This window comes from Homo sapiens, chromosome 5, assembly GCF_000001405.40.
Source record: "Homo sapiens chromosome 5, GRCh38.p14 Primary Assembly".
Lineage (NCBI taxonomy): Eukaryota > Metazoa > Chordata > Mammalia > Primates > Hominidae > Homo > Homo sapiens.
The window spans coordinates 87094877-87107723 of record NC_000005.10 but is presented as its reverse complement, the minus strand read 5'-3'; the positions used below and the strand labels follow the sequence as shown (position 1 = coordinate 87107723).

The 12847-nt window shown below is 36.8% G+C and overlaps 1 long non-coding RNA gene and 1 pseudogene across 1 annotated transcript in view, besides 1 other annotated feature; both read left to right on the top strand.

Annotated features, from left to right (window-relative positions):
* The window catches only part of MIR4280HG (MIR4280 host gene), a 73290-nt gene that overhangs the window by 14472 nt on the left and 45971 nt on the right, over positions 1-12847 (top strand). The window lies entirely within an intron of this gene.
* Positions 4878-5121, top strand: RN7SKP34 (RN7SK pseudogene 34; annotated as a pseudogene).
* Positions 5606-5806: a silencer, noted in NCBI's record as "peak5331 fragment used in MPRA reporter construct". NCBI's record gives its function as "represses an SCP1 promoter by STARR-seq MPRAs in K562 erythroleukemia cells {active_cell/tissue: K562}" and the evidence as "EXISTENCE:reporter gene assay evidence [ECO:0000049][PMID:32103011]".

The window sequence follows — 12847 nt, the reverse complement described above, 5'->3', positions numbered from 1 at the left end:
GCTAGTAACAACAGATGCCTCTGCTTGCAGTAACAGATTTATCCTAAATCTGGATACAATGAACTCTTTTTATTTCCTCAGATAAGCAGATATTTGACTAGATTTGGTGGAATATTTCTCTCTTGTGAGTTAAAAAAATAATTTTAGCATACAATTATGTAAAATTATGAAAATTAAAATTTTCATCATTGTTTTTAGATAGTGTTTCTATATAGTATTCTCCAGTATCTAGCACAAGACTGGCATATAGACCCATTTATTTGGTTATTCTTTCATTAATCTTGGCTTGGTTCTTCAAAAAATATAATGTTTTAATATTTAGATCACCAAACATTTAGAGAATTTCAGGTTTCAAGACATTCATACATTACTATAGTAAGCATTATTGTTGGATAACTAGCTTACTGATCATACCATAGCTAATAAGAAGAGATTGTCACTTTATCCCCAACTATATGCCGATCAATACGTGATGCTAGACAATGTTTATATGTATGAAAGGCCATGAGAGTAGGGTAAATGAGAAAAAAGTATATAATCTCATAGAAAACACTAGATCTTTGGCATATTTACATATCTTAAAAGTTCTTATTAAGTGAATTTTGGGTATAATTTGCAGAGACATGTTGAAGATAACTGACAATATCCTTTCTATTCTATATGTTATGCTAATTTGCTTCCACATTAAATCACACTGTTTAAAATGATAGCATTTTATATAAGGGTCTTAACAAGTACTTGATTATCGGATTGGTGGTTGTACTGTTTTCCCCCAGTAATAGCCAATACTTCCCTATTACGGAAGAAGCCAGTTAGGCTTTTGTTTTGTTTAGTTTTGCTTTTTCTTTTCCAAATCTGCTCAAAGGTTTAATTTTTAAATGTTTCTACGTCTTTTTCTCAGTGATGTACTATTTTTCAGGAACCATTTCAACTCTTTTAACAATTATACCTTAAGGGAATAAAGTCAGTTTTCTGTTTAAACCTGCTTGCTGAATTTTTTTTTTTTAGATGGAGTTTCACTCTTGTTGCCCAGGCTGGAGTACAATGGTGCGATCTTGGCTCACCGCAAACTCTGCCTCTGGGGTTCAAGCGATTCTCCTACCACAACCTCCTGAGTAGCTGGGATTACAGGCATGTACCACCACGCCCGACTAATTTTTTGTATTTTTAGGAGGGATGGGGTTTGTCTATGTTGTTTAGTCTGGTCTTGACCTCCTGACCTCAGGTGATCTGCCCGCCTCGGCCTCCCAAAGTGCTGGGATTACAGGTGTGAGCGGTCACGCCCGGTCGAATATTCTAATATACTTTTTTAGTTATTGAAAGTTACCAATAACTGGAATTTATTCATTTTGATGAAATAAATAAATGAAATTCCTGTTCATTCATTTGACAGTTATTGAGCACCTACTACATACAAAGCATTGATATAGCTGTCCTAGAAATTACAATGATATTATCACCAATTACTAACTTTTAGGTGGTCAAGGTGCATGACTAGTACCGTATCCCAGTTGGATCCTCAATACTTGCTATGATGCTTGGCACGTGGCAGTTTCTTTTTTTTTCTTTCTTTTTTTTTATTATTTTTTTATTATTATACTTTAAGTACTAGGGTACATGTGCACAATGTGCAGGTTTGTTACATATGTATACATGTGCCATGTTGGTTTGCTGCACCCATCAACTCGTCATTTACATTAGGTATATCTCCTAATGCTATCCCTCCCCCCTCCCCCAGCCCCATGACAGGCCCTGGTGTGTGATGTCCCCCTTCCTGTGTCTAAGTTTTCTCATTGTTCAATTCCCACCTGTGAGTGAGAACATGCAGTGTTTGGTTTTCTGTCCTTGTGATAAGTTTGCTCAGAATGATGGTTTCAAGCTTCATCCATGTGCCTACAAAGGACAAGAACTCATCCTTTTTTATGGCTGCGTAGTATTCCATGGTGTATAGGCACATGGCAGATTCTTATGAACTACTTCCTGAAGAAATGAATATATGATATACGATAATTTAAAAGTTCATTTAGTGCTCCCTAAAACTTTTTATAATTAAAACAGATTTTTTTTCCTGTTGTTTGGTATGTGTATTGATTACCCCATACATTTGTAAGGAGAAAATGCTATCCATAGTTATTAATGGTGCCTCCAGCACTACCTGTGTTTTCTTCATGCCTCCAGTTCCCACCTTCACTGTGGTTCCACTTCTTCCATTGCACTTCCATTCCACCTGTACTGTGATTCCAGCTTCTTCCAGATGACCCCAAGCCTTAGAAACTGGTAACATGACCTCCTTCCTTTGTTCCTCCAACCTAAGAGTAGTAAGGACATTCTGCTTTTGCTAATCTCTGGGAAGTTTCACTGTCCTAATTGACTTTTAAGCTCTTCCACTAATTCATTATCTTTGTTTCAAATACTTAGATGATTCCCTTGATTGTACATGGTCTAATATAATTTTATTACTGTCTTATTTTCTTTAGGATCTTTATCACTATCTGTAATTATTTTTATTACTGCCTGTACTATCTGTGTTGTGCTGTACTGCTACTGTTTTACCTGAGTAGAATGTAATATCCAAAAGGACAAGACTTGTTGTCTTATTTATGACTATATGCCCAGCTCTAGCACAGTATGTAGCACATGGTAGTTGCTTAATAAATGGTTTCTTAGTAAATATGTCTGGATAAATTTCTGAAGCTTTCAAATACATTAGTAGCAATGGCACACATGGTGTTCTCATACTAATTTGTTATTTTAACACTAAACTTAGTGAAAAGGCCATTATTTTTGTTTTTGTAATCCAGATGGAAATAGGGTATTTTAATTTCTTTTAGAAGAGGGTGAAAAAAAGCATCTAAGAAGTTTGATAATAAGATTCAGAGTTCTAAGCTGGATCAAGACTTACAAATTCAAATGGATTATTCTTATGAAGCTAAGGTGTCCCCATTCTTAACAAAATATTCTTTTATATATTGGTGTGTATATACTTTTAGATTGTAATCTTAATGCCACATGGATGTTCAATTATTTTGCCAATGCTGTGATTTCTTTCAGGTTACCTGCCATCAACCAAAAATGCAGGAAATTTCTTACTTTGCAGGCAAAACTGACATAGCATTTTGTGTCCTAAATGATGTCCTAATAAATATCAGAAATTTTTTTCCTTTGGTGGCATTATTTTTAATGATTTTACTATTCATGGTGTTTTCAGTTGCTAAAAACAATGCTTCTTTTAGAGTCTTGTATAGATTTTGTGGAACAATCAAGACCCAAATATCTTAAAATTAAAATGTACTTTTTGGTAAGTAGCTATAGAAAAACAAATCTGGCATGTGATATTTATTAGCTCATTTAGGAATCTAGCCTTGCACTTTCCCCTTTTCTGCTTTTGTTTATAGTTTTCTTTTAGCCAGTGGGGATACATTCTTTTCCTTTCCTTTCAAATATTGAAATCCTAGTTACAGAAATTTCCCTTCCTTTATGAAATCTTCCTAAGGCTTCCCAAATCAATTAACTGCATTTTATTTATACTTCACTCTCACTAATTGAATCAAGTTTTTGCATTCATTTGCTTATTTTTTCTTTTGACAGTGACAATCATTGTGTTAATCTGAGTAACAGTGAGAAAAAGGAGAAAAAAAATGTGCCTTCTTGAACTTACCCTTAACTGGGGAAGACATATGAGACAAACTAATATGAAGTAAATATATAATAACATATTGTGGCAATTGTTATGAAGAAAAACAAAAGTATAAGAGAAATGCTAACAAAGAAGATTCATTTAGATTTAGGAAGAGATGAGCCTTTCTGAAGAAGTAATATTTAACCTGAGAGCTGAAAGTTGCATATCATTTTATTGCAGTTATTTGCATACTTGGGTATTCCCCTGCTAAATCTAGGTTCCTGTCTACACATTCAATTGTATTGCCTCTACAGGATCTGACATGGGACCTTGCCTGTTAGGCTGGTTCAGTATAAATGTTGCATGCACTGAAAAGGATTTGCACAGTTGGCAAAAACCAAACTTGATACATTCATTTTGGTTCTGAATAAATGTTTCAAACTCCCTTTTGTCTTGAACTAGACACTTTGAACTGAGTCCTTGACTGATTAGGAGGCACTGGGATGGGGGTGAGGGGAGAAGCAATGTTTGCGGCTGGCTGGGTCTTCATCAAAAGATGAAACTCGTGAGATATTAACTTTAATTCTGCTTATTTTCATTTTCAGCCCCCCAGGAAAACACTGGGAGGGAATTCCATGGGTAATCTTTGTCTTTATGAACGTCTAGAGGATTCTACCATAAAATTAGGAAAGATAAGTTAGAAATGTTGAAACATAGAAAGTATTATAACTAGAACGCATTTAATACTTGTATTTTTAATTTTTGAGACAGTCTTCCTCTGTCACCCAGGCTGGAGTGCAGTAGCACTATCTCTGCTCTCTGTAACCTCTGCCCCCCGAATTCAAGCAACTCTCTTGCCTCAGCCTCCCAAGTAGCTGGTATTACAGGTGCATACCACCATGCTGGCTAATTTTTGTATTTTTAGTAGATGGGGTTTCACCATTTTGCCCAGGCTGGTCTTGAACTCTTGACCTCAAGTGATCTGCCTGCCTTGGCCTCCCAAGGTGCTGGCATTACAGGTGTGAGTCACTGTGCCCAGCCCAATACTTGTATTTTTAGAAATGAGAATGGCCATATTTCAATTTATGTGCATGAGTTTTACTACTATTGCCCTGTGATAAATACACAAGCTGTGCTATTTAGCAATCCTCACCAAAATTGATTTTCGAGTTAGATACCTTTGATGGGAGAATACAGCTGTTTTCAAATTAGAATTGGTAAATCCTAAAGCATTGCATTTGAAAATGATTAAATAGAGAGATGTGAAGTGATTTGGCTACAACACTAACCCCTTGTTCATTTCCAGGATATATTCAACTGGTCTGGCTGGTGAGGTAGATGTTACCATCCTTCTCATTTCTCTTTGCTTCAACTTAAATTTTACATTCAGGATAAGACATTTAGTGTGCCTCTTTTGGGACTGATGAAGATCCCAAACAAGCAATGTGGGGGAAAGAGTCTGAATCTAGACCCTTACAGCAGGAGTCTGTCTGTCATATAGGACATGCAGGTTGGTGAGTCTAACTGGAGAAAATAGGATTTCTCCAGTTTCCCTCTCCTGCCCAAAGGAAATCAAACCCTCATTCTCCTTCCAAGCAGTGCAGGCCTCATGGCAGTTTTGGAAGAGTGGTAATGATTATATTTAAGTAACGGAGGCAATAAAATAATGTGTTAGAACTGAAGCCAGAGAACTGTATAACAAGAATCTTACTACAATAGAGAAAGTTTCAGAGTGGCAGCATTTGTGCTACTGCTGGACTGGGGAAAGAAAAATTAAACACATTAACAAAGTACTTAATGGTTTGTTTGGACTGAATAGAAAATTAACATTGTTTTCTTTTATTCCTGTTGTCCAAAACCCATAACTGGATACTCCATTGTTGCAACACATTGTGATCTTAAGACATTTTCCAATTAATGGTATTGCTTCCTTAGGTGTGAGCTCTACAATTTAAAAAGCAGCCTATGTTCAAAGATGTATTTCGTATGGTGTCACTTTATCAGAAGAGCAATCTGCCATTTTTTGACAGCCAGTGACTTGTGGCTGAATCAGTGATACTTTAAAAAAGAACTCATTATCAGTCTAGTGAACAAAATATGCATTATAAGATTGTGCAGGATTATAACTTTCAATGTCAGTGATTTTTGTCTGCATGGGTGTGATAAATTGGGGATCAGCTGAAGCGGTTTCAAATATTTGCTATTTCATGAGATTAGCAAATTTAGACAGCCAAGGATTCCCTCCATTCTTCTTGGCATGAACCAGCTTTTCTTTTCTTATAAATAGTGTCACTCTGAGGAAAAATAAGGAAAAAAATGTAAACCAAGTTTTTATGACTGAGAAGTTGCCTTTTGAAGAAGAAGGAATCATTAATGTAGACATCTTTTATAAATATTAACAGACTTCATTTGAGGATTAAGGATGAATGAAATATGGGCTGTGCTGTACGGTCTTAATTCTACAAAGTTCTTAACGGTTCTGTGACATTGCAGTCAAATTCACATCCTGTGAGAAGTGAGCAAATGACATAAAAACAAAAAGCAGAATGGGAAGAGGTTAGAAGAACAGCATCCTGCTAGCTGACCTAAGGACATTTTTAGACAAACAATCCTAATCACTGACGGACTGTGGCAGATTATTTACACATCTCTAGTGTTGGTTATTATATGGATGCCTGAAATTATTGCAGCTATGGAAAGGTGAAATAGTGATGGTGTCAGGTTGAAACCTCATTTGAGAGAAGTCCACATTCCATAGTAACTAATGACTGGAAATTCAGACTTGATGAGGCAAGGGAAGAAGTGAGAACAAAATGAAATATCATTGGCACCAGCATATTTGTTATTTTTCAGAAGAGCCTTTTGAAACCGATCACTTACATTTAACCCCATCCAGGCATATCTAAGTCTCTGTTATGGGATTTTACACAATTGAGCTGGACATATACTATTTATAAGCCTCTAATGTCTCTATCAGAAAGTGTTTGCACCCATAGTGAGTTGAGATTTTGGAAATACAGTGAGAAATTTTATGTTAAGATTTTGTCTTCATATAGAACATGCAAAAGTGAAAAAAGTGAATAAGGTGAAACTGTCCTCTCTGTTATTTATCCCCAAAGTGCTTTTTTGTAATTTTGATATATGGCAATGTCAGTGGTCTGGCATTGGCAGGCAATGCTGACTTATCTGTCAGGCTTTGGAGTCATAGAGGCTTGTGTTCAAATGTCACCTTTTCTACTTATTTGGCATATGTTAAAATTTTAGGCCAGCCACAGTGTCTCATGCCTGTAATTCCAGCACTTTGGGAGCCTATCAGGAGGATTGTTTGAGCACAGGGGTTGGAGGTCACAGTGAGCTATGATTGTGCCACTGCATTCCAGCCTGGGCAGCAGAGTGAGACCCTGTTTCAAATAAAAAATCAAGCTTTAGTATGGGTAGTTATAAATATTATTATTGGTCAAGTGAGAAGCTTAGGTAGCATTCCCAACTCCTCTGCTTTTATACTTTTCAATCTGGTTGTTTACCAAGTCGTGTCCATCTGATCTCATAAGTATTTCCTAATAATTGCCCCCTTACCAACTATACTGTCATGGTTTCTGCTACTTCTATAGGTTTTGATCACTGTTTACTTGGATTTCTGAGATAAACCACTTTGTACTAATTGTCTCATGACTTATCCCTCTGTATTTCTTTCTGCACATTACTGAAAAGTAGAATCTTTCAAAAATGCAAATCTAATCATGTTGTAACATATATTAGAATACTTCATGGTTTTCTTTAAGTTCTGGCATAAGTTTAAAGTCATAAAATTTTATATAAGACTCCTCCTTTTTCTCTCCTACAACACACTTGTGGGTATACCCTATGGGTCAGTCAGGCTGAAATGTGTTGTTTCCCATGCTTACCATGCCCAGAATTCCCCCCTGCTGATCTCTTCCCTCTTATGCTTTCCCTGCACACTGCCACTCCCACTGAACAAATAGCTCTCCAGCTTTTATTTGTCCTGATCATTCAACTAAAATGAAAGTTCCTCTGGGAAATCTTCTTTTGCCCACCATAATGAATTTGATATGCCTTTCTTGTGCCTCAATAATACAAGCTAATGCTTCTTTCCAAGCACAGAGACTCTATTTTAATGTTAGTTTTTGAGAATAACTTTATTTTTATTGTATTAATATTTTTTTGAAGCAGGGTCTTGTTGTGTCACCCAGGCTGGAGTGCAGTGGCCAGAATACAGCTCACTGCAGCCTTAACCTCATGAGCTTAACCAATCCACCTGCCTTGGCCTCCCAAAGTGCTGGAATTACAGGTATAAGCCACTGTGTCCGGCCTGGGAATGACTTTATCACTGGAGTATAATCTCCTCAGGGCAGTGACTGTATCTTCTTTACTTTCAGATACATATCAGAGTGCCAGGCAACACAATAAACAAGCTATAAAAGTTTGTGGAAGGATGAATGTCTAAAGTTAAGTGCTACTAATTCAAAGGTCATTCATATTTTGAAGCAGATCAAAGACTAAAATTAAGAAAATGAGTCTCAAATTGTGGAATTTCAGGCTTTGGCCAACTGATGAATGGGATATGTGTATATGGGTGGGTATGTGTGCTGTGCTGTGTCAGTGTGTGTGTTGAGGGAATCCAGTAAGAATGTGGGGAGGTAGGAGTGCAGGTGATAGGAATGTCTCAAAACATTTAAAATAATATTATGTAGTTGGCTATTCTATTAGCTAAGAATATGACTATTGTTAGTCATAGTGACTTAAGCACATCAGGACTTATTTTTCTCCTGTAATAAGAAGTGTAGAGGTAGGTAGTTGCTTGTTCATGGCTTAAAAATGTTAGTGCAGAAGTTCCTGTGATTCTGTTCACCTTTTTCTTAAAGCTCCACAATGGCCGCCAGAATTCTAGTCATCAGGACCACATTTCAGGCAAAAAGCCTTAGAAAACATGGAAATGCAAAAAAGGAGAGTGCCAAGGAAAATGCAGGTGAAGACCTACTCTGTCACATTCAGGAGCTGTGCAGAACAGTGGCCAAATCTGAGGTGGCTATGATACTGGCTGGATTAAAGAACTCTCCTTCATTATTCTTATCCTTATTAAGCTTACAGATGATGAGTTTATTGATCCCTTTGGAAGATCAGCAAATATAAGCAAATAAGATATATATATATATATATATATATATTTTTTTTTTTTTTTTTTTTTTTTTTTGAGACGGAGTTTCACTCTTGTTGTCCAGGCTGAGTGCAGTGGTGCAATATCAGCTCACTGCAACCTCTGCTTCCTGGGTTCAAGGATTCTCCCGCCTTAACCTCCCAAGTAGCTGTGATTACAGGCGCCCGCCACCACGCCCGGCTAATTTTTGTATTTTTAGTAGAGATGCAGTTTCACCATGTTGGTCAGGCTGGTCTCGAACTCCTGACCTCAGGTGATCACCATCTGCCTCGGCCTTCCAAAGTGCTGGGATTACAGGTGTGAGCCACACGCCCGGTGGCAAATAAGTTATATTCTGAATTAAAACATATGATTTAACCTAATGATCCATTCAATTGTGTATAATTTTATTCTTTCTACTCACTCCCATTAACAAAACCCTCATCTTGCCAGCATTATTTACCCAAATTTATTAATTAAGGACTTACTCTGTGCCAGGCACTATGCTTCTCTCTGGGCATACAGAATATAAGAACAGAATAACCTTCTGGTCCTCTAGAAGCTCATTAAGTAGTACAGGAAACAAAGAAATCAACAGGTAGTTCCTATAGTAGGTGATACATTCTATGAGCCAGGCAGGCCTTCAGAGCTTTGAACAGGTAGCATGTGGATTCACTCCAGACTCGGGAGAGGAAGACAAAACCCAAGGCCTCCAGAAGGAGCTGGCAGCTCATCTATTATTGTAAAGGAAGAGAAGGAGTTGAGAAAATATGACAGTCCTTCTAAACAGATCAAAAATCAAATCAAAAGGCTGAAATTAGTTTCAGGAGGCTCAAATAGAGGAAGATGTGAGTGTATGGCCAAACTACAAGATTAATAAGCCCTAGATATATTTTCAAGAGTTATGTTTGTATCCTTGTATGAATCAATAAATTCTGAAATATTATTCTTGCATTATACTTTCCATTTCAAGCTGTTAATTCTTATAGCAGAGAACCACAAACTACATCATGATAAGAATGCTGGGTGATCACTGTGTCTTACTAACCCACTTTGTGACTGTTATCTGAACACCATAAGGAACATATAGAAGTGTGATGAGGTTGGGCTGAAATATGTACTTGAGACATGTGAGGAACATCTGAACGGAAACAGAAAGTAGGCAATGTGATAACTATCCTGGCGCTTAAAAGTAACATCTGGGATAAAAATATAGATGTAAAATTCCTTCACTCATTCCACAAATATATACTGATCACATAATATGTGCTAGATGCTAAAAATACAATGAGGGATAAGAAAAATTCCCTACCCTCAACATGTTTACATTCTAATGATAGAGACAGAGAACTAAAGGTTTTAACCTGCCTATAGTGGGCATTTACAACTAGGTTAGATAAGAACTGCAGAGAAAGTATTTAAAGTGAGAAGACATGGCTCATAATAAAATCTGGAGCATATTAAGTTTTAAAAAAAGAGTGGTGGTAGAAAAAGAGGGACTCACAACAGATTTTGAAAAGGAGCATCTGGAGAAATAGAAGGAAAATCAGAAAAGAACCATAGCACAGAAAGCAAGCAGGGTGAGAGTTTGAAAAGTGAGTCAAAAGTCTTGAAGGCCGAAGTTGGGTTCAGGAGGCTAAAGACTGGAAGGCGTCCAATGGGTTGAGAAATTAGGAGGTTATTAGTGATTTTGACAGGAGCAGATTCAGTGAATTGAAGGGAGGCGAAACATTTCCATTTCAGGAGTAAATAGGAGGTGAAGAGGATAATGAATGTCACTTGATCCTTTCACAAAGCTTGGCTATGGTGGGATGAAGAGAAATAGGGAAATGTAGAATTAAGAAAGATTTTAACATAATTATCAGACTAAGAAACAGCTTATAGACAGGCTGCATTTAAATTCAGTAAATGAAGTGATAATTTATGGGAAGGCTTCCTCAAGGAATTCAGAGAAAAGTAGGATCTAGAGAGTGTGTAGGAGGAATTAGCCTGCATTTGGGTAAGTCTTCACTGAATCCTGAGAGAAGATGGAGTTCCTGGATTCAGGTACAAGTCTTTCTGGGAGAGAGCAAGAGTTGAAAGAACACTTACCTAATACCCTCTATTTTTCTGTGAAGGGGGGCCTAAGAGTCTTTGAGGGTTTAGGATTAAGATCTTCAAGAGAATGGTGAAGGTTTAAAAGGCTGTTACATGGCATCGGAGATGGAGTTGCTTAGGAGCTCACCAAAAGATTGCCAGCTGATCTTCAGAACCTATCCAAAGTTAGAGACCAAGACCCTGTGTTGGTACCAGTCCCCCTTACCATGTGACTTTTCCCCATAATGCTCAAGAATTTATGTTGAAGAGCAGAAGAAATCCATAGTTGAATATGTTGCTCTAGCACTGAGGGCAGGTTGTTTGGGAGAATAAGGAGGCAAGGGAGTTGAGGGTCCTAGTAAAAAGTAGTTTAAGTCAGAGCTTCCCAAAATTTTCCTCCACAAAAACTCACAATGTCTTTTGTAGCTGTAGCACACTTAGATGCTGAGATAAAGCTCCTCTTAGCCCTCTAAGGGCTGAGCATGGCAAGAGGAGCCAGAACTCTCAGGCTAGTTACTTCCACTGGCATAAGTAGCCTTGAGCATTTAAAATATTAAAATAAAATGTTAAAATTAATTAAAATATTATTTTTTCTATCATGCTATGCAAATGATTCAAAAGCACTGGTTTAAGTGATTTATGAGGTCTATTTAGGTTACGGATAGCAGTGATGCATCAGGGAAGTTTAGACATTGAAGAAATAATTGTATTCATAAGGCAGAAACACTAGTGTGGGGAATGGCAGAGTTATCTGGAAAGGGTGCTGTGGCCAGAGAGAATGATAAGAAAAATAAAGACTTTTGAGATTTTGCCATTCCAGAAAATAAAAAAAACTTGGTTGCAGCCTCAGGTGTGATTAGCTGGAATGGAGTGGAGAAGTGGAACAAGGAATTGAAAGTGGGGTTTGGGTTAGATTGTCCCCAGAGACATTTAAGATAGCCAGCAACAATGACAATCAAGATTGCCATGACCTCTCTCTTTCTCCTCATGTCATTTTTTTCTCCCACTATTCCGATGAGAATTTTAATTAGGGATTTTAAGGATGCACATGGTCTGAAACTGGAAGATTATCCAACAGTAAGGCAGCTCTAGAGATCAGAGCTAATCTTTTTCATTTGAGTAAGTGGCTCCATGGCTAAAAACAAGTTTGAAGGTCATGTATCCTAGAAATAGATAAACAAAATACCCTTCAGGGAACTCTACATAAATTCTAGTTCTTTCAATTGACTTTCAAGCTGTTATAAACATTTTTTTTTTAAATTTAAATCCTTTCTTACCACTTCATAAACTGCAAGTGCTAAGTCTTAAAAATCTGACTTTTCAGAGCATCTTTCTTGTAGATAATACTGTTGACTCTTAATGATACAGCTTTTCAATATGTTTTTCCTGTCCAAAATAACTGATATCAGCTAACTGGAATTTGCTTATCTTAAACCATCCTGAAGTGATACTGTCTTTCACAGATGTCTCTTAAGACCATTCCATGTCATCTATAGTGTATTTAATAAATGCTTTTTAATGTAATTGAGGCAGCTAGTGATTCTGCGATTGCTTATAGTTTACCTTCATGTGGCTTCTAGTTTTCACTTCATAGCATCAATATAAAAGATGTTTCTATGTAACAGAGTTTTGTTTCTTTGTCCTATGTTAACTCTGGAGACGCTTCAGTTGGAAATTCATTACTGTTTTTACATCGTTAAACCAGGAATGATTTATTTATTTATTTCACTGTTATTTGCTTTTCTTCTTTCCTTTTCTTTTTTCGCTACAATTTCAGCTGATGTCATTAAAGCCACTTTAGGAGAAATTGTGGTCTTTAACTTACATAGCAGAGGGCAAGGTGCTAGACTATGGCTAGTGTTATTCAAAATTTTAAAGCTACTATCTAACGTTATTATTTCAGAAAACTTCAGCATTTTATGAAATGCTACATTTCATAGTTCCTGCAAATGCAATGGGTATAATGTATTACTAAATTGCCAGTAAAATAGAATTTT